At 38.3% G+C, this 22,385-nt stretch overlaps 1 pseudogene across 1 annotated transcript in view; it reads left to right on the forward strand.

Annotated features, from left to right (window-relative positions):
• Positions 1 to 22,385, forward strand: part of GRM5P1 (GRM5 pseudogene 1) — a 251,892-nt pseudogene that overhangs the window by 225,819 nt on the left and 3,688 nt on the right. The window contains exon 4 of the transcript NR_027044.1: positions 7,629 to 7,713. The product of NR_027044.1 is annotated as a GRM5 pseudogene 1 (transcript). The remainder of the gene's footprint in view (positions 1 to 7,628; positions 7,714 to 22,385) is intronic.

The following is a 22,385-nucleotide window of genomic DNA, read 5'->3' on the forward strand; positions in this document are numbered from 1 at the left end:
ATATCCTTGAGTAATTCACTTGGAAAGTAAACATGACTCAAACTCACAGTTGCTTTTAAAACTGATTTTGAGAATGACTACATGAGCTTGGTTTATAATGTAGAATCATAGAATTTTGGGTTTGAAAGTGAGGGATTACTTTCAGGGCACATTTTTAAAGCATTAGAAAATTGGCTTGTTATTTTATATCACAAAAATGTAGGTGTCTGGTGACCTACATTGTTTCTAGACAAGATACTAAAATACTAGCATCTACAGAGATTGACTTTAATTATCTGGATAATTCACTTGATTGACACAACTCAGCACACTCCCTGTTGTTGTGGCTGAATCAGTGTATTAGTCAAATTCTCCAGAGAAATAAAACCAAAAGTTTATACATATATAATAAAAAATATTCATATATGTGTCCTGCACATATATATACGTATGTATAAATTTGTGTGTGTGTGTGTATACATATGTATATATATACACATATGAGATTTACTACAAGGAATTGGTTCATGTGATTAAAGACCCAAGAGAGCCAATGTGTAGTTTCAATCCAAGTCCAAAGGTTTTAGAACCATGAGAGTTGATAATATTAAGTTGCAGTCTGAAAGTTGGTAGGCTTGCAATTCAAGATGAGCCAATGTTTCAGTCCAAGTCTGAAGGCTGAAAAAGACCAATGTCCATCTCATGCTATCAGGCAAAAAACATTACCTCTTAGCCTTTTAATACTATTCAGGTCTTCAGTTGATTGTTTGAAGTCCATCCATATTAGAGAGGGCTATCTGCTTTACTCAGTTTACTGCTTCAAACGTTAATCTCATCCAGAACAATCTCACAGAAACAGGCAGAATAATGTCTGTTAAAATGTCTGGGCACTACTCATAGCCCAGGCACTAGACACATAAAATTGACTATCATAATTAGTAAGACAACACTGTAGTTTTGAATGTGTGAATGAGGTGCACTTTTGAGATGGTAACCCTGGAAGTCATAAGTGGTAGGGAAGCTGCTTCTTCATTGCATACCTTTAAAACATTATGTACCGTATATCTTTTTATTAACATGTAGCCAATATAAAGAACAGCAAAAACCTTAGAAACCACTGCATCTTTCTCAGGATTTCTGCCCCAAATAGAGAGCCAAGTCACTTGTTATTAACTTTTGATGGCTTATTAAGGGAAACATACTTCCTTCATTTTCCAAATGCTTAACTGACCATCTGTGATCAGACTTAGCTGCAGCTGAGATATATTTTATGACAGCCATTTTATGTACCCAATTCTTTTCTGTCTGATCTGATGGCAATAGATTGATGGGGCTATTTTGGTATGAGGTCATACATCCTTCAATAAAAATGATATTGAGTGAGATTCCTTTTTTATCAATGTCATACATTTTGTCAAAATCATTGCTACTTGGCAGGAATAATGCACCAGTTAGTTTCAGACAACCCACGAACATGCCAACTGCCAATATTCTTATATTGTATTCTGAAGTGCAGTGTTACCACTGCAGTAAAAAGAACAGAAAAGAAAAAAAATCTGGCTTTAAGTAGTTCTGTTTTTCTGATAGGGAATAAAGAATTCCATGATTCCTATCTGCTCCATTTGCAAGCATTAATAAGAAAAATCAGCAGCATTTGTTTTCAGTCATATGGTGTATTTGCCAAAAAGCAAATTGTTCTTTGATCCCATGTACACTAAGTAAATAGATTGGCTTTTACAATATTTGCCATTTTCCATGTATGATTTTATTTCCAGAAGCATTGCAAAATTTTATATTTTGGGTATTTTAAGATTTATTTTGTATATGATAAACATAGAGTTCTTTCCATATCGTTTAATTCATGGAATACTAAATTTATAGCCTCTAGTTAGATTTCTTTTATCCCCCCATTAACTGGCTATTTAGTAATTCGACATTTACTTGAACATCATTTCATTTTTGAGCAGTTTTGTTAGGTCTTCCTTACTCCAAATTTTAAAACTGTCTCCCTGTAGTTTCTGCCTCTTGGCCCATTTTTTTTTCTTTAAAAGTAACATGTGATGCTCTTTCAAATATTTGGGAACAACAGTGTGGTCCTCAGTACTCTCCAACTTCTCTTTGAAATATCCCAACTTCTTCCAACTATCTTAGTGAGATGGCACTGTGGGTGTTAATAAAACCACTTATCAGAACCATTTATAGGACCATTTATCAAATACTTTGTGCCAATTACTGTGCTAAGCACTTTACACGTGTTGTTTCATTTAATCATTATTTGACAAATGTTAGGTGTTTACTATATGTAAAAGTGCTTGAAATAAATAAATGAGCAAAAAAACAATAATTATTGACCTTATGATACTTACAGATTAGTTAGATAGAAGGTCATATAAGTGTTATGAAAAAACCCATATCTAAGAACCTAAATATTAAGTACTATTCTATTTTATACACAGGAGTTCTAAGTAAGACTCAATAAATATTGATGTGTGAAATGGAACAGAAAAGCAAAAGTTAATAGTTTGTAAGAAAAAGTTTACATCTACTAACTCTAATTTTACAAATGAGGAAACTGACACCTCCAAAATGTGGATGACACAATTACCCAACTACCATAACTTAGAATCCAGTGTACTTTTCTACTAACTTGTCTTCTGTAGAGTAGAAACAGAGGGAAAGTTATTATTTGATAGCAAACCCTAGGTTCTACATAGAACCTGAGTTTATTTTTAAAAAATTTTAGATAATTCAAATTTTTAATTTAAATTAGTATTTCATATCAATGTTACCTCCTGAAAATTTTTATTTAGTTCATGCTATAACTTCTTTCAGTATTCCAGTGTTATTTTGTTTACAAATATTCTGCAAATCTCTCTTTTTGCTCCTTCTCTTCCCCAATTCAACTTGAATGAATGGCTTTAGGAACTAGAAGTCAAAGCTATGTGGAAAAAAAAAAAAGGCTATATTTAGAGCCTACTAGAAGGTCCACATTTAATAGCTGTAGTTACTTATAAATATCTCCAACTGCCTTAGGTCAACCATGTTTAATAGGTCGTTCAACTTAAGTGCTTGGCAGGACTAAGACAACTCTGCCGCTGAGACAACCTCATCCATCAGCACGTCTCACCATCTGCACTGCACATCAATAGAATGTTAGAATGATACACACCTGGCCATTAGGTCTTTCCATTTGAGCTGTAGGTAATCTGCTGTCTCATTGCCAATAAAAATATCCTGTTCAGGTCCCTGAAATAGTCTTGCTAAACACTTTGGCTCTGACAGCAGGCTGAGATCAATAATCTGAACAGTAATGGCATTTCTTAAGGGGCTTATTTTATAGAATGAATACACTGTCTTAGTTCTAGATCTGGGAAAGAATTACTTGAAATACATTATTTAAAAGTTAGAAATTTAAATAAGACTTGGAAACAACTAGTTTTTAGCAAATTAACTACTGAAAGATAGTTTCATTTGATCTATAATTAACTTTATTTAAATAATTTGAGAATATTCTTTAATACGATGATGATTACAAAGCCACAAAAATGAAATGTACTTAAATTTCAAAAGTACTTGAGGATTACAAGTAGCATTTCTTAGTGAGAGGTCAATCTACATCAATATTTTTCAAAATGGAAATGATAAGAACTTACTGTAAGAAATATCCTTGCCAATGAAATTACAGTTTTTCTAGTCAAACTATGATAGTGGCTATTCCCCAGAGGTAAATATTATTCTTTATCTTTATATGTAGCAAGAATGTCTATTCCAAATTAAGTCATTTTCAAACAAGTATACAGGCATTCCTTGGAGAAAATGTGCGTTTGATTTCAGACCACCACAATAAAACAGTATCACAGTAAAAATCACACAAATGTTTTGTTTTCCCAATTCATATAAAAAGTGGGCCGGGCGCGGTGGTTCACACCTGTAATCCCAGCACTTTGGAAGGCAGAGGCTTGCAGATCACGAAGTCAGGAGATCAAGACCATCCTGGCTAACACGGTGAAACCCTATCTCTACTAAAAATACAAAAAATTAGCCAGGTGTGGCTGCGTGCGCCTGTAGTCCCAGCTACTCTGGAGGCTGAGGCAGGAGAATGGTGCGAACCCGGGAGGCGGAGGTTGCAGTGAGCCGAGATTGCGCCACTGCGCTCCAGCCTGGGCAACAGAGCGAGACTCTGTCTCAAAAAAAAAAAAAAGTTATGTTTATACTATACTGTAGCCTAATAAGTGCACAATAGAATTATGTCTAAAAATACATAAATCTTAATTCAAATATACTTTATTGCTAAAAAAAAAAGCAACTGATCATCTGAGCCTTCAGTGGGTTAGATTCTTTTTGCTAGTTGAGGGTCTTGCCTCAATGTTGATGGCTGCTGACTGATTAGGGTGGCAATTGCTGAAGGTGGCGGTGGCTGTGGCAATTTCTTAAAATAAGACAACAATGAAGTTTGCCACATCAAATGAGTCTTCCTTTCACAAAAGGAAGTGGTATTTATCTGTAGTGTGAAATGTTGTTTGATGACATTTTACCTGCGTTAGAACTGCTCTTAAAACTGGAGTCAGTTTTAAGTCTACTAAGTATACGTAATATTCTAAATTCTTTGTTGTCATTTCAACAATGCTGATAGCAACTTCACCAGAGTATATTCCGCCTCAAGAAACCACTTTCTTTGCTGATCTATAAGAAGCAATTCCTCATCCATTTAAGATTTATCATGAGATTGTAGAAGTTCAGTGCCATCTTTGAACTCACTTTCTAATTCTAGTTCTCCTGCTCTTTTCATTACATCTTCAGTTACTTCCTTGACTGGAAGTATTGGAACACCTCAAAGTCATCCATGAGGGTTGGAATCACTTCTTCCAAACTCCTGTTGTTGATATTTTGACCTTCTCTCATGACTCATGAATGTTCTTAATGACACCTAGAATGGTGAATCCTTTCCAGAAGGTTTCCAACTTACTTTGCCCATATCCATCTGAGGGATTACCATCTATGACAGTTACGGCTTTATGAAATGTATTTTAGAAATAATAAGACATGAGAGTCAAAATTACTTGTTGATTCATAGGCTGCAGAATGGATATTGTGTTAGCAGGTACGTAAACAACATTAAACTCCATGTATGTCTCCATCAGACCTCCGGGCTGGCCGGGCACATTGTCAATTATTAGCAGTAGTATTTTGAAGGGATTTTTGTATATATATATATGTGTGTGAGTAGTAATTCTCAGAAGTAGACTTAAAATATTCAGTAAACCATGTTGTAAAGAGATGTGTTGTCACCCAGGCTTTGTTTTTTCATTTTTAGAACACAGTAATACGTGTAACATAATTCATAAGTTTCCTAGTCTTCTCAGAATGGAAATGATTATTGGCTTCCACTTCAAGTCACCAGTTTTATTATCTCCTCATAGAAGAGTTAGCCTGTCCTTTGACAATCTGAAGCAAGGCCTTGACTTCTCCTCTCTAGCTGAGAAAGTGTTAGATGGCATCTTCTTCCAAAAAAAGGCTGTTTTGTCTACATCGAAAATATGTTGTTGAAGCTTCTCTATCAGTCTGCACTTGCTGCTTCACCCAGCACTTTGATGTTATAGAGACAGTTTCCTTCCTTCAACCTCACGAAATAACCTCTGCTAGCTTTACACATCTTCTGTAACTTCCTCCCCTCTCTCAGCCTTTATAGGATTAAAGAGAGTTAAGGTCTTGCTCTTGATTACAATTTTGGTTTACAAGAATGTTGTGGCTGACTTGATCTTCTATCAAGACCATGAAAACTTTCTCCATATCAGCAATAAGGCTGTTTCTCTTTCTTATCATTTCTGTATATTCACAACTTGGCTGTTTTTTGCAACAGGCCTAATTTTTGGCCTATATTTGCTTCCACCATACCTTCCTCATTAAGTATAATCATTTCTTGTTGATTTTGATTTAAAGCTTTTAAATCAAAAGCTTTTGATTTAAAGTTAGAGACTTACAATTCTTCCTTTCACTTGAGCATTTAGCCATTGTAGGGCTATTAATTAGCCTAATTTTAATACTGTTGTGTCTCTAGGGATAGGGAGGCCTGAGGAGAGGGAGAGAGACGGAAGTACAGCCAGTGGGTAGGACAATCAGAACGTACCACCCTCATTACGGTCTTATGTGGGCAGTTTGTGATGCCCCAAACCAATTACAACAGTAGCGTGTTCCTAACACAAAGAAATAATAAATGTCTGAGGTGATGGATACGTTTATTACCCTGATTTGATCCTTATATATTGTATACATTTATGGAAATATCACACTGTATGCCATAAATGTGTACAATTATCATGTAAATTGAAATAATAATATAAGCAAAAAAGATCACTGATTACAGATCACCATAACAGATATAATAATAATGAAAAAGTTTGAAATATTGTGAGAATTAACAAAATTACACAAAATGAGACCATGCTATTGGAAAAATAGTGCCAACAGATGTGTAGGACAGAGATGCCACAAACCTTCAATTTGTAAAAAATGCAATATCTGTGGAGTTACAATAAAATCAAGTGCAATAAAAACGCATGTCCATAATTTTCTTCTACTGGGCCATTCAGTGTCATCAATTTGTAATGTGGGATAAAAGTTAACAATAGGAATGATAGTACCTTTACTGAGGTCATTGGGAAATGTCAGATATGAAGTAAAGAGCAGATCATGAGTTCAGTTTTGGAGAAGTGGAGTTCAGGTACATTTCAAAGATAAAGTAGTCTACTAGGTAGGAGAATATGTAAGTTGAGAGCTCAGAAGAGATATATAGGCTGTAAATAGAACTGAGAGAATCATCAGGATAATAGCAAATCAAGGACGTGTTTGTTAAAATTAAGAGAGGAATTCTAAGAAATTATCTTTGAGGGACCTCAGCATTTAGGTTGAAAAAAAAAGATGAACTCTAAATCGGAGACAGGAACAGGCAAATCCAGAGATGTAGATGGGAAACCAAGAGTGTTGTGTCATCCAAGCCAATGGAAGAGAGTATTTACAGGCAAGACACCAGTGTCAACTGAATTTAGGAGATCAAGTGAAAATAACACTGAAATGGCCATTTGGATTTATTGAGGTGGAGAGAACTGGCAATTTAACAAGACATGGCTGAATAGAGTAATAAAAGCAGATTAACAATGAAGTAGCTAAGAAGTGAGTAGAAGGTGAGAAAGTGAACCCATGACATATAAGCCAGTATTTTGGGAAGTTGAACTAATAAGGAATGAAGAATGAAATCTACAGTTCACCCTTGAACAACATGAGTTTGAACTGTGCAGGTCTCCATTTACATATTTTTTTTCAGTTGATAGGTTGAAATTTATTTTTGAGATTTGCAATAATTTGGACAAACTCACAGACAAACCATGTTGCCTAGGAATTTTTTTTTTTTTTTTTTTTTTTTTTTTTTTTTTAGTATTTATTGATCATTCTTGGGTGTTTCTCACAGAGGGGGATTTGGCAGGGTCACAGGACAATAGTGGAGGGAAGGTCAGCAGATAAACAAGTGAACAAAGGTCTCTGGTTTTCCTAAGCAGAGGACCCTGCGACCTTCCGCAGTGTTTGTGTCCCTGGGTACTTGAGACCAGGGAGTGGTAATGACTCTTTTTTTTTTTTTTTTTTTTTGTTTTAAGGGAACCAGATGCCATCTTTATTGAGATCTCAAAGAACAGCATCCTATGGGAAGACAGAAGAAAATGCCAAGGTCGCTTCCTTCAGGTAATGCAACACTTTCTTGTGAGAGACACAACGGTAAACATGAAGATGATTGATAACTTCTTTTAAGACATATAAAAGGGAGTTATAACACAGAAGTACAATCCTGAACCAAAAAAGAAGAAAAGCCAATTTATAGCTACGGAGGCATGTTTAAAAGTGCTACACAGAAAATTTCTTTGAGTCTATGTTTTTGCAAATGGGAGAGGATTTTCAAGTCAGCTCATGTGGAAGATACACTTCATCGCCAAAGGGAATAGTGGGACAGGCACCAGGAAATACCCTAAGGAACTGGGAAGGAGATACATGGTCCCAGAGCAGAACTTTGACCCTACTGAAAAGGAAGGAAAAGGCATTCCTGACGAGCAACCTCCTTTAATGCTTTAATGGAGCCAAGTTTAACCTGAATTTCAAATTCTTGAGATAGACTTTAACACAACAGACTGTCTAGGTTTGAATCCCAGTTCTGCCACTTTTTAGCAAAGTGATCTGGAGCAGGTTACACTACCTCCCTCCATCTTATGATTATTATTATCCACATTTGGTATGAAATGTGGATAATAATAATAGTAGCTACCTCACATGGTACTCATAAAGATTAAATAAAGTAATTTAGGTACAGTGAGATAAGGCTTGCCTTCCAGCAGATATTCAATATGTGTTGGCCATTATTATTATTTCTCTAATCATTAGAGAAAAGAATAACAAATAATAAGAAATATCTGCCTACAGTTAAAGAGACATTTCCTTTAGTCACCTCTGGCTAAAAAAAAAATTAAATAAAAAAGACTAATGAAAGCCTGAAATTCAATACCAGAACCGCATGCAGTACTGTTGGTTCATATCCACATGCACACACATTCTTTGCTTGGGTCTACAGTGCAACATACTACAACCAAACATAGAACTTAGATATTTCCAAGCCATTTGATGTAAGAGCCAGCTGGAAATCCTCATTTCAATGTTCCACAAGTATCTTAAACTCATTATACCCAAAACTGAACTGATCATTTTCACCCTCCTCTACTACTACTTCCCCTAACTTCCCCTAATTCCGTGGTGCCACATCCTGTTCTCTACCAATTTACTTTCTTTTTTTTTTTTTTTTTTTATTATACTCTAAGTTTTAGGGTACATGTGCACATTGTGCAGGTTAGTTACATATGTATACATGTGCCATGCTGGTGCCCTGCACCCACTAATGTGTCATCTAGCATTAGGTATATCTCCCAATGCCATCCCTCCCCCCTCCCCCGACCCCACCACAGTCCCCAGAGGGTGATATTCCCCTTCCTGTGTCCATGTGATCTCATTGTTCAATTCCCACCTATGAGTGAGAATATGCGGTGTTTGGTTTTTTGTTCTTGCGATAGTTTACTGAGAATGATGGTTTCCATTTTCATCCATGTCCCTACACAGGATATGAACTCATCATTTTTTATGGCTGCATAGTATTCCATGGTGTATATGTGCCACATTTTCTTAATCCAGTCTATCATTGTTGGACATTTGGGTTGGTTCCAAGTCTTTGCTATTGTGAATAATGCCACAATAAACATACGTGTGCATGTCTCTTTATAGCAGCATGATTTATAGTCATTTGGGTATATACCCAGTAATGGGATGGCTGGGTCAAATGGTATTTCTAGTTCTAGATCCCTGAGGAATCGCCACACTGACTTCCACAATGGATGAACTAGTTTACAGTCCCACCAACAGTGTAAAAGTGTTCCTATTTCTCCGCATCCTCTCCAGCACCTGTTGTTTCCTGACTTTTTAATGATTGCCATTCTAACTGGTGTGAGATGATATCTCATAGTGGTTTTGATTTGCATTTCTCTGATGGCCAGTGATGATGAGCATTTCTTCATGTGTTTTTTGGCTGCATAAATGTCTTCTTTTGAGAAGTGTCTGTTCATGTCCTTCGCCCACTTTTTGATGGGGTTGTTTGTTTTTTTCTTGTAAATTTGTTTGAGTTCATTGTAGATTCTGGATATTAGCCCTTTGTCAGATGAGTAGGTTGCGAAAATTTTCTCCCATGTTGTAGGTTGCCTGTTCACTCTGATGGTAGTTTCTTTTGCTGTGCAGAAGCTCTTTAGTTTAATTAGATCCCATTTGTCAATTTTGTCTTTTGTTGCCATTGCTTTTGGTGTTTTGGACATGAAGTCCTTGCCCACGCCTATGTCCTGAATGGTAATGCCTAGGTTTTCTTCTAGGATTTTTATGGTTTTAGGTCTAATGTTTAAATCTTTAATCCATCTTGAATTGATTTTTGTATAAGGTGTAAGGAAGGGATCCAGTTTCAGCTTTCTACATATGGCTAGCCAGTTTTCCCAGCACCATTTATTAAATAGGGAATCCTTTCCCCATTGCTTGTTTTTCTCAGGTTTGTCAAAGATCAGATAGTTGTAGATATGCGGCATTATTTCTGAGGGCTCTGTTCTGTTCCATTGATCTATATCTCTGTTTTGGTACCAGTACCATGCTGTTTTGGTTACTGTAGCCTTGTAGTATAGTTTGAAGTCAGGTAGTGTGATGCCTCCAGCTTTGTTCTTTTGGCTTAGGATTGACTTGGCAATGCGGGCTCTTTTTTGGTTCCATATGAACTTTAAAGTAGTTTTTTCCAATTCTGTGAAGAAAGTCATTGGTAGCTTGATGGGGATGGCATTGAATCTGTAAATTACCTTGGGCAGTATGGCCATTTTCACGATATTGATTCTTCCTACCCATGAGCATGGAATGTTCTTCCATTTGTTTGTGTCCTCTTTTATTTCCTTGAGCAGTGGTTTGTAGATCTCCTTGAAGAGGTCCTTCACATCCCTTGTAAGTTGGATTCCTAGGTATTTTATTCTCTTTGAAGCAATTGTGAATGGGAGTTCACCCATGATTTGGCTCTTTGTTTGTCTGTTGTTGGTGTATAAGAATGCTTGTGATTTTTGTACATTGATTTTGTATCCTGAGACTTTGCTGAAGTTGCTTATCAGCTTAAGGAGATTTTGGGCTGAGACGATGGGGTTTTCTAGATAAACAATCATGTCGTCTGCAAACAGGGACAATTTGACTTCCTCTTTTCCTAATTGAATACCCTTTATTTCCTTCTCCTGCCTGATTGCCCTGGCCAGAACTTCCAACACTATGTTGAATAGGAGTGGTGAGAGAGGGCATCCCTGTCTTGTGCCAGTTTTCAAAGGGAATGCTTCCAGTTTTTGCCCATTCAGTATGATATTGGCTGTGGGTTTGTCATAGATAGCTCTTATTATTTTGAAATACGTCCCATCAATACCTAATTTATTGAGAGTTTTTAGCATGAAGGGTTGTTGAATTTTGTCAAAGGCTTTTTCTGCATCTATTGAGATAATCATGTGGTTTTTGTCTTTGGCTCTGTTTATATGCTGGATTACATTTATTGATTTGCGTATATTGAACCAGCCTTGCATCCCAGGGATGAAGCCCACTTGATCATGGTGGATAAGCTTTTTGATGTGCTGCTGGATTTGGTTTGCCAGTATTTTATTGAGGATTTTTGCATCAATGTTCATCAAGGATATTGGTCTAAAATTCTCTTTTTTGGTTGTGTCTCTGCCCGGCTTTGGTATCAGAATGATGCTGGCCTCATAAAATGAGTTAGGGAGGATTCCCTCTTTTTCTATTGATTGGAATAGTTTCAGAAGGAATGGTACCATTTCCTCCTTGTACCTCTGGTAGAATTCGGCTGTGAATCCATCTGGTCCTGGACTCTTTTTGGTTGGTAAACTATTGATTATTGCCACAATTTCAGAGCCTGTTATTGGTCTTTTCAGAGATTCAACTTCTTCCTGGTTTAGTCCTGGGAGAGTGTATGTGTCGAGGAATGTATCCATTTCTTCTAGATTTTCTAGTTTTTTTGCGTAGAGGTGTTTGTAGTATTCTCTGATGGTAGTTTGTATTTCTGTGGGATCGGTGGTGATATCCCCTTTATCATTTTTTATTGTGTCTATTTGATTCTTCTCTCTTTTTTTCTTTATTAGTCTTGCTAGCGGTCTATCAATTTTGTTGATCCTTTCAACAAACCAGCTCCTGGATTCATTGATTTTTTGAAGGGTTTTTTGTGTCTCTATTTCCTTCAGTTCTGCTCTGATTTTAGTTATTTCTTGCCTTCTGCTAGCTTTTGAATGTGTTTGCTCTTGCTTTTCTAGTTCTTTTAATTGTGATGTTAGGGTGTCAATTTTGGATCTTTCCTGCTTTCTCTTGTAGGCATTTAGTGCTATAAATTTCCCTCTACACACTGCTTTGAATGCGTCCCAGAGATTCTGGTATGTGGTGTCTTTGTTCTCGTTGGTTTCAAAGAACATCTTTATTTCTGCCTTCATTTCGTTGTGTACCCAGTAGTCATTCAGGAGCAGGTTGTTCAGTTTCCATGTAGTTGAGCGGCTTTGAGTGAGATTCTTAATCCTGAGTTCTAGTTTGATTGCACTGTGGTCTGAGAGATAGTTTGTTATAATTTCTGTTCTTTTACATTTACTGAGGAGAGCTTTGCTTCCAACTATGTGGTCAATTTTGGAATAGGTGTGGTGTGGTGCTGAAAAAAATGTATATTCTGTTGATTTGGGGTGGAGAGTTCTGTAGATGTCTATTAGGTCTGCTTGGTGCAGAACTGAGTTCAATTCCTGGGTATCCTTGTTGACTTTCTGTCTCGTTGATCTGTCTAATGTTGACAGTGGGGTGTTAAAGTCTCCCATTATTAATGTGTGGGAGTCTAAGTCTCTTTGTAGGTCACTGAGGATTTGCTTTATGAATCTGGGTGCTCCTGTATTGGGTGCATAAATATTTAGGATAGTTAGCTCCTCTTGTTGAATTGATCCCTTTACCATTATGTAATGGCCTTCTTTGTCTCTTTTGATCTTTGTTGGTTTAAAGTCTGTTTTATCAGAGACTAGGATTGCAACCCCTGCCTTTTTTTGTTTTCCATTGGCTTGGTAGATCTTCCTCCATCCTTTTATTTTGAGCCTATGTGTGTCTCTGCACGTGAGATGGGTTTCCTGAATACAGCACACTGATGGGTCTTGACTCTTTATCCAACTTGCCAGTCTGTGTCTTTTAATTGCAGAATTTAGTCCATTTATATTTAAAGTTAATATTGTTATGTGTGAATTTGATCCTGTCATTATGATGTTAGCTGGTGATTTTGCTCATTAGTTGATGCAGTTTCTTCCTAGTCTCGATGGTCTTTACATTTTGGCATGATTTTGCAGCGGCTGGTACCGGTTGTTCCTTTCCATGTTTAGCGCTTCCTTCAGGAGCTCTTTTAGGGCAGGCCTGGTGGTGACAAAATCTCTCAGCATTTGCTTGTCTATAAAGTATTTTATTTCTCCTTCACTTATGAAGCTTAGTTTGGCTGGATATGAAATTCTGGGTTGAAAATTGTTTTCTTTAAGAATGTTGAATATTGGCCCCCACTCTCTTCTGGCTTGTAGGGTTTCTGCCGAGAGATCCGCTGTTAGTCTGATGGGCTTTCCTTTGAGGGTAACCCGACCTTTCTCTCTGGCTGCCCTTAACATTTTTTCCTTCACTTCAACTTTGGTGAATCTGACAATTATGTGTCTTGGAGTTGCTCTTCTTGAGGAGTATCTTTGTGGCATTCTCTGTATTTCCTGAATCTGAACGTTGGCCTGCCTTGCTAGATTGGGGAAGTTGGGAGTGGTAATGACTCTTAACGAGCATGCTGCCTTCAAGCATCTGTTTAACAAAGCACATCCTGCACCACCCTTAATCCATTTAACCCTGAGTGGACACAGCACATGTTTCAGAGAGCACGGGGTTGGGGGTAAGGTTATAGATTAACAGCATCCCAAGGCAGAAGAATTTTTCCCAGTACAGAACAAAATGGAGTCCCCCATGTCTACTTCTTTCTGCACAGACACAGCACCAATCCAATCTCTCTATCTTTTCCCCACATTTCCCCCTTTTCTATTGGACAAAACTGCCATCATCATCATGGCCCGTTCTCAATGAGCCGTTGGGTACACCTCCCAGATGGGGTGGTGGCCGGGCAGAGGGGCTCCTCACTTCCCAGATGGGGTGGCCGGGCAGAGGCTCCCCCCACCTCCCGGACAGGGCGGCAGCCGGGCAGAGGCGCCCCACAACTCCCGGATGGGCGGCCGGCCAGGTGTGGGCTGCCCGCCACCTCCCTCCTGGATGGAGCGGCTGGCTGGGCGGGGGCTGCCCCCCACCTCCCGGACAGGGAGGCTGGCCGGGGCGGGGGTTGTCCCCCACCTCCCGGACGGGGTGGCTGCCGGGCAGGGGCTACCCCCCACCTCCCTCCTGGACGGGGCGGCTGGCCAGGTGGGTGTTGCCCCCACCTCCCTCCTGGATAGGGCGGCTGGCCGGGCGGGGGCTGCCCCCCACCTCCCGGTCGGGGCGGCTGCCGGGCGGAGATGCTCCTCACTTCCCAAATGGTGCGGCTGCTGGGTGGAGGGGCTCCTCACTTCTTAGACGGGGCGGCCGGGCAGAGACGCTCCTCACCTCCCAGACGGGGTTGCGGCCAGGCAGAGGCGCTCCTCACATCCCAGACGGGGTGGTGGGGCAGAGGCGCTCGCCACATCTCAGACTATGGGCGGCGGGGCAGAGACGCTCCTCACTTCCTAGAGGGGATGGTGGCCGGGAAGAGGCGCTCCTCACTTCCCAGACTGGGCAGCCAGGCAGAGGGGCTCCTCACATCCCAGATGATGGGCGGCCAGGCAGAGACGCTCCTCACTTCCCAGACGGGGTGGCGGCCAGGCAGAGGCTGCAATCTCAGCACTTTGGGAGGCCAAGGCAGGTGGCTGGGAGGTGGAGGTTGTAGCAAGCCGAGATCACACCACTGCACTCCAGCCTGGGCAACATTGAGCACTGAGTGAACGAGACTCCGTCTGCAATCCCGGCACCTCAGGAGGCCGAGGCTGGCGGATCACTCGCGGTTAGGAGCTGGAGACCAGCCCGGCCAACACAGCGAAACCCTGTCTCCACCAAAAAAATACGAAAACCAGTCAGGCGCGGCGGCACACGCCTGCAGTCGCAGGCACTCGCAGGCTGAGGCAGGAGAATCAGGCAGGGAGGTTGCAGTGAGCCGAGATGGCGGCAGCGCAGTCCAGCTTCCGCTCGGCATCAGAGGGAGACCGTGGAAAGAGAGGGAGAGGGAGACCGTGGGGAGAGGGAGAGAGGGAGAGGGAGAGGAATATTTTTTTAAAAATAAGAAAATATGTGTGATAAATGAATATAATATTTACATATACTATTTTATCATTTACTACCATAAAATCTACACCAATCTATTATAAAAAGTTAAAATTTTTCAAAACTTTTGTGCACACTTGTGAGCCATTCCTGATTAAGAGAAAACAAAGATTTACTATTAAATCATAACTACATAAAATTAACTGTAGTACATGTTGTACTACTGTAGTAATTTCAAAGCCACCTCCTATTGATATTGCAATGGTCTCAAGTATTGTGAGTATCTGCTTAAATCACAGTTTGAGGCTAATCATCTCCCTGTGAACTGTTCATTTCACCACTAAATCACACATCACAGTGAAAAGTGATTGTTCCTGATTATTGCACATTTTTTATCATGTCTTTTGCAATACTGTGAACCTTAAATAACACCATGGGAGCAAAGGTGTCAGTAGTGGTGCTGAAACTGCTCCCAAGACGAAGAGAAAAGTCATGATATTACAAGAAAAAGTTGAGTTGCTTAATATGTACTGTGGATTCAGGTCTGCAGCTGCAGATGCCCTTCATTTCAAGATAAACAAATCCAGCATAAGGAAAGACCAACGTAATGAAAGAAAAGGAAACGTATGAAGCCATCCCTGTGGCTACACCAGCAGATGTGAAAACTTGCTCTTCTGGGGAAATACCTTTTTATGTAATTTTGAACATGCAGCTTTTATGTAGGTGTAGGATTGGGTATAACAAAGGCATACATATAGAGTCTAATATTATTCAAGAAAAAGAAAAGTCATTAAAGATGACTTACTCAAAAGGAAGGTGAAGGATCTAAAGCTGGAGAATTTAGTGTTAGCAAAGGATGGTTTGATAATTTTACAAAGATATTTGGCTTAAAAATTGTCAAGATAATAAGAAAAACAGCTTCTGTTGCCCAAGAAGCAGCAGACAAGTTCCAAGACACCATTAAGAAAACCACTGAGGAGAAGGAATATTTGCTGCAACAGGTTTTTAATGTGTGTCAAAGTGCTCTATTCTGTACAGAAAAATACCACAAAGAACATTTATTAGTAAAGAAGAGAAGTGAGCACTAGGATTTAAGGCAGGAAGGAGTAAGCTAACCCTCCTGTTTTGTGACAATACAGTCAGGTTTATTATGATCATGACTTTTCTTATCTACACAGTTGCTAATCTCCTAGCATTGAAGGGAAAAGATAAACATCAGCTACCAGTCTTTTGGTTGTACAAGAAGAAGACCTGGACATTTAGAGCTATTTTCCTTGATTGTGTCCATCAGCACTTTGTCCCTGAAATCATGAAGTACCTGGCTAGGAAGGACTGCCTTATAAAGTTCCTTTGCTATTGAGCAATGCCCCTTGCCACCCAGAACCTCATGAGTTCAACATGGAAAGTATCTACTTGCCTCCAGACAAAAAGTCTCTAATTCAGCCTCTAGATTAGGGGTCATAAGGACTATAAAGGCTCAATACACACAGTACTCTATGGAAAGGATCGTCAATGGTTTGAAGAGGATCCGAATAGAGACAACATCATGAAAGTCTGGAAAAATTATACCACTGAAGATACAACTGTTGTTATGGAAAAAGCCCTGAAAGCCATCAAGCCTGATACAATAAATTCCTGCTGAAGAAAACTGTTTCCAGATTTTATGTATCACTTCACAATATTTATGATAGAGCCAGTCAAGGAAATCATGAGATCATGGGTATAAAAAAGAAAAGGTGGGGGTGAAGGGTTTCAGAATATGGATCTTGGAGAAATTCAAGAGCTAACAGACATCACACTACAAGAATTAACAGAAGATGACTTTGATGGAGATAAGTGCTTTTGGACCAGTGCCAGATGAGGAGGAAGATGATGTTGAAGAAGTAGTGACAGAAAACAAATTGACATTAGATAATCTGGCAGGAGGGTTTCAGTTATTCAAGACTGCTTTTGACTTCTTTTATGACATGATCCTTTCTATGATACAGGGACTGAAATTAAAGCTAACAGTGGAAGAAGGATTGGTACTGTATAGAAACATTTTTGGAGAAATGAAAAAGAAAAAAAAGGCAAAAATGCATTTCCTTAAATGTGTTAAGTTAAACTAAGTGTGCCTTCCTCTCCTGCCTCCCTTTCCACCTCATCCGCCTCTTCCACCACTGCCACCCCTGAAACAGCAAGACCAACCCCTTCCCTTCCTCTTCCCCATCAGCCTACAGTATGAAGACAATTAGGATGAAAACCTTTATGATGATCCACATCTACTTAATGAATAGTAAATATATATTTTTCTTCCCTATGATTTTCTTGATAACATTTCTTCCTCTTGCTTACTTTATTATAAGAATACAGTATATAATGCATACAACATACAAAAATACATGTTAATCAACGATTATGTTAGTTGTAAGGATTTGGGTCAACAGTAGGCCATTAGTAGTTAAGATTTAGGAGAGTCAAAAGTTATATGTAGATATTTGACTGTGTAAGCTGATGTTGCCTCTAACTCCTGCGTTGTTCAAGGGTCAACTGTATATTTTAAGGGAAAATGAGGTAAAGAGAGATTTTTTAACATTAACATTTTATTTCTCTCTAAAGATGTAATTTATAATCATGAAAAATAATTTAAGTGGTGAACAAAATATATAGTGAAAAGCACTTGTATTTCTCTGTCGACTCATGGTATTATTAAATCATTTGCACTTTGATAATATTATGAATCAAAATGGCATCATAATATTTTAATTTGTAGTTTTAAAATTATGAGTAAGATAGTAAATATTATGTCAATATTTCCTAAAAGCTACCTATCCATATACTAAAACCATTTTTTTATTTATTTTTCCTTATTGATTTCTAAAAACTATAAATTAAGGACGGTAGCTCATTGGAATATGTTGAAAATATTTTTACTCTTGTCATTTAATTTGGGCTTTATGACCTTCAGATAATGCCAAGCTTTATAATTTTTAGATTTTTAAAATTTTATGATATATAGTATCTGTATCTTGCATGCAAAGGTCAGTTGTTTATTTAATTGGTTAATTTTGGTATCTAGGTAGGATAGGTGATTTAATTAATGAAAAGAGGGTTATGAATAGTATGAAATGCATAAAAATGTGGGAAGGGGTGGCATTTAAAGTCCAGGTGGAGGAAACCAACTGAGAAGATGTACTACAGAACTAGAACAGAAATTTAAAAATGTGTTGGGGCAGATATAGCTTAAAAGTTTAGAAATAGAAAAATCACTTGATGGCCTTTCTTCCTAAATTTAGAGGCAATTCGGAGAAGGAAGTTTGTGTGTGTGTGTGTGTGTGTGTGTGTGTGTGTGTGTGTAGCATAAGGGGTGTGGCAGTGGGTTGAGAAACAGTCAGTGGAGATTGGAAACCAGGAAACCTCTACTGCTAATAAGTGGTTTCATTTATTATTTTTGAAAGATATTACTCCATCTGTAATAAACAATGAGGAGAGAAAGATTTCGTTAAACTATAATGCAAGATATTTTTAAAGTAACACCAAATTTAACATTTGTAACTGTAGAGTCACATAAAGTATTATATTAATTTCTCACTGTTAGGGATTTAAAGGTTCATTAAACAATAGCCCTTTTCTCAAATTAAATACCAGCAAGAAGTCATGGAGTTAGTATACATTAGCTAAATAAAACCAAATCTTTGATCTGTGACCAAATATTCTTCTCCATCCCCACAGTCACAGACAGGGCTGAACAATCACAGGACTTGCTTGCTTTAATAGATAGCTTTTGGAAGGACAACAGAAAAACTCTTAGGTTCAGAGAACAGACTGCTCCATGAAAAGAAGAGATGGAGTCATACACACTTAACCCCTTCTCCAGTTTCACCAGACAGGTGAGTCACTATCCCCAGAAAGGATAGTAGGAAGATGGTGGAATAAAGCTGTGTGTTTTCCTTCCATGCTTTCCTCTCCTGGAGCATAAAAGTTCCCCTCAAACACCCCTATTAAAATGTAAAGAATGAGATATTTCTTTTATTTCTCACAAGTCCCTTCTGAAGTGAGTAATATTAACCTAACTTTATAGATGAAGAATCTGAAACTCAGAGACATTACTTATGTCTTTTTTTTTTTTTTTTTTGAGATGGAGTCTCACTCTGTCACCCAGGCTGGAGTGAAGTGGCGCGATCTCGGCTCACTGCAAGCTCCGCCTCCTGGGTTCATGACATTCTCCTGCCTCAGCCTCCCAAGTAGCTGGGACTACAGGCGCCTGCCACCACGCCTGGCTATTTTTTTGTGTATTTTTAGTAGAAACGGGGTTTCACCGTGTTAACCAGGATGGTCTCGATCTGCTGACCTCGTGATCCGCCCGTCTCTGCCTCCCAAAGTGCTGGGATTACAGGCGTGAGCCACCGCGCCCGGCCGACGTTACTTATGTCTTTAAATGCAACTCTGCTTGCTAGATATAAGCTGAAATGTAAATAATACCAGTTGCCGTGGGAGGTGCTGTAGGTCTGACAACTGAAAATGAACAGGGGCTTTTGATGTTATTGGATGAAGTATTCCTATGTCCAGGATGAAACCAACCCAGGACTTTGAAGCCCTCTTCTAATACTAGAGCTTGTCCTTTAAAGTAATCTGCATCTCAAAGTGCGCTGGTAGCTTTGAGATTGATTGCACTGCGAACATTTGTTTAGATAAATATTTAAAACATTTTGATAATAATCACTTTTTATAGAGTGATCTTTATTTAGCAAGCACTGTTCTAAGTGGTTGATCTTCATGTATTAATTTATTGACTTTTTATAGCAATTCTATTTGTAAGCTATTATTACTAACTTCATTTTATAGCTGAAGAAACTGAGACACAGAGAGACAACTAATTTGCTCAAGGTCCCACAGGCAGTAAATGGCAGTGAGGATATTGGAAGGTAACCTGTATCCTAAACCATTCTGGAAAACCATCTCTGGATCTTTGATAATCCTCAATTTCAGTAATAAATTTTGTCCTTACAGTATAAGAGAATATGTTTTTCTCTATTTTCAAGATAGATAATTTGAACAAAGGAAAATGTAGAATTAAAGGTGATTCTGAAAATGTTTCTTTTTTAAAAAAAATAAGATTAACAAACCAGGAGCAATTACACTTTCTGTAATCAAGAAAATTTAATAATTAGATGGACTATTCAAACTGCACTTCCATTTTCCCAGGAAACTAAACTTTTTGATGAAACTTTAGTTTTTAGTAAACAGAAAAGTTTGAAGTTGCTTTATAAGTGTGTGTAAACATCTACAGAGAAACAAAAGCAAACTGAATATTATTCTGTGCTGAATTCCAGTCAAAAACATTTGCTCTTTATTGTTTTCTAGATTTGGTTTTTTTTTGTTTGTTTTTGTTTTTTGGTTTTTGTTTTTTGTTTTGAGACAGAATCTTACTCACTCTATCACCCAAGCTGGAGTGCAGTGGCGGTATGTCAAGTCACTGCAGTCTCTGTCTCCTGGGTTCAAGCGATTCTCCAACCTTAGCCTCCCAAGTAGCTGTGATTACAGGCATGCACCACCATGCCCAGCTAATTTTTGTATATTTTTTATTAGAGATGAGGTTTTGCCATCTTGGCCACGTTGGTCTCAAACTCCTGACTTCCAGTGATCTCAGCTTCCCAAAGTGCAGAGATTACAGGCATGAGCCACTGCGCCTGGCCTGTTTCTAGAAGATTGACATGATTTTGTGGAATTAACAGAAGATGTGAACTATCATACATATATATATACACACACACACAGATTTATATACACACATATATACATATGTATATTTCTATTAGTTGGCAGGCATTGTGATAAATCATACTAAAAACAGTGACTGATTAACTGAGGCTCATCAGCCGAATTCTATTTTTGTACAATAGTTTCTTTGGAACATAGTCGCATTCATTGACATAATGTCTATGGCTGCTTTGGGGCTATAACTGCAGAAGTGAACAGTTTTAATAGAAATCATATGTCCCATAGAGCCTTAAATATTTACTATCTGACCCTTTACAGGAGAGGTTTGCTACCTGATCCAGAGTTTTTTCATCTGTGAAGATGAATATGCCTACTTACATAGCAGTATTAAGTTTTCAATATTACTCAAAAGTAGTCATGGTTTGCACATAAACTCCACTTTTTTTTTCAATCCTTATTGAGGTTTAAGGGCTTCTGATGGGTTATGAGATCTGAGAGTCTTAGGAGTGTTGGTTGGAGTTGAGGGTACAGGCTTGAATGCCATGATTCTCAGTGGAGAGAAGACCCAGAACAAAGGAGCTTTTTTTGACTTCAACATCCTGGAACATAATGTTCAAAGCAATTGCAACAGGCAATGCATTTGAATTACCTCCTCATTCAACACTAAGTGATTTAATTTTACCTAAAATAAAAGAATGTGCTAAGTTTAATAAGAAGTGTACTCTTTGGGTATAGATATTAGTCTTTTTAATACAGTTATTTTTACACCTCTCATTTGCTAAATTGTATCAATAACATGGATTAAAAATGCTTCTTTTCTTTTTTCCTCATCCCATCGTCCCCAGTTTCCTCAGAGTTGTTTTCTGTAAAACAAATGTAATTGTTTCATCCTTCTGCAAAATGATCTTAGCTGACTCCCCTTTGCCATCATATTCCACTCCATAATTTGGCATACACTACATGGCCTAAAATCTGCCAATCACTTCCTATGTTACTCAGAGGTGAGATTTAAAATATGTAACAACTAGTAAGATGTGGATCCAATCAAAACAGATGCAAGTCATAACCAATGGGTTAATTTATGCTGATGCATACCAGCCGAATATCAGAATTGACACACTTCTGCACCTTCCCACTGCTGTATCTTCACCTATATCTCAAAATGCTTACAATTCGCTGACCATATCTAGCTTACAGTGTAACCTACACTGTTTTCTCCCTGGAATTACTTCCCTGTCTTTTACCTATATACTCAGGTTTATGTATCTGGTTTATCATGTAAGACATTTCCAGGCAGTTTGGAAGATATCCTGAACTCCAGTAAGACTTCCACAGATCCCTTAAAAAATCCCTGGAAGTTTTCATTTTTATTTTTCTGTTTTCTTCTTTTTCCTCTTACACTAGAATATAAGCTCCTTGAAAGTGTGGGTAAAGGTTTATAAATCTTCATATCTTTCATACCTAATACATTATAGATATTTTAGAGTGGCTGAAACTGCAGGGGGAAAGAAATTGGCAGTAATAGAGAGGCAGAAAAATGATTCTCCTTAACTCAGTCAGCCTAAGTAAAAGGCAGGATTCTCAAACCCTAAAAGTGAAAAAGTAGACTAAATGTATGTTTCTCTGCAAGTAAGCCAGCTAAAAGTCTCCTGGTGGAGAACAGAGGTGTCTCCTTAGGACACGCTCCCCATGAGTTTATGACAGGTCTATTTCAAAGCTTTTCTTACTGAATGGTGAATTTCTGGCCTTTGCAAAGCACGTCTGAAGAAATGAGCACTTTCTAT

This window comes from Homo sapiens, chromosome 11, assembly GCF_000001405.40.
Source record: "Homo sapiens chromosome 11, GRCh38.p14 Primary Assembly".
Taxonomy (NCBI): Eukaryota; Metazoa; Chordata; class Mammalia; order Primates; family Hominidae; genus Homo; species Homo sapiens.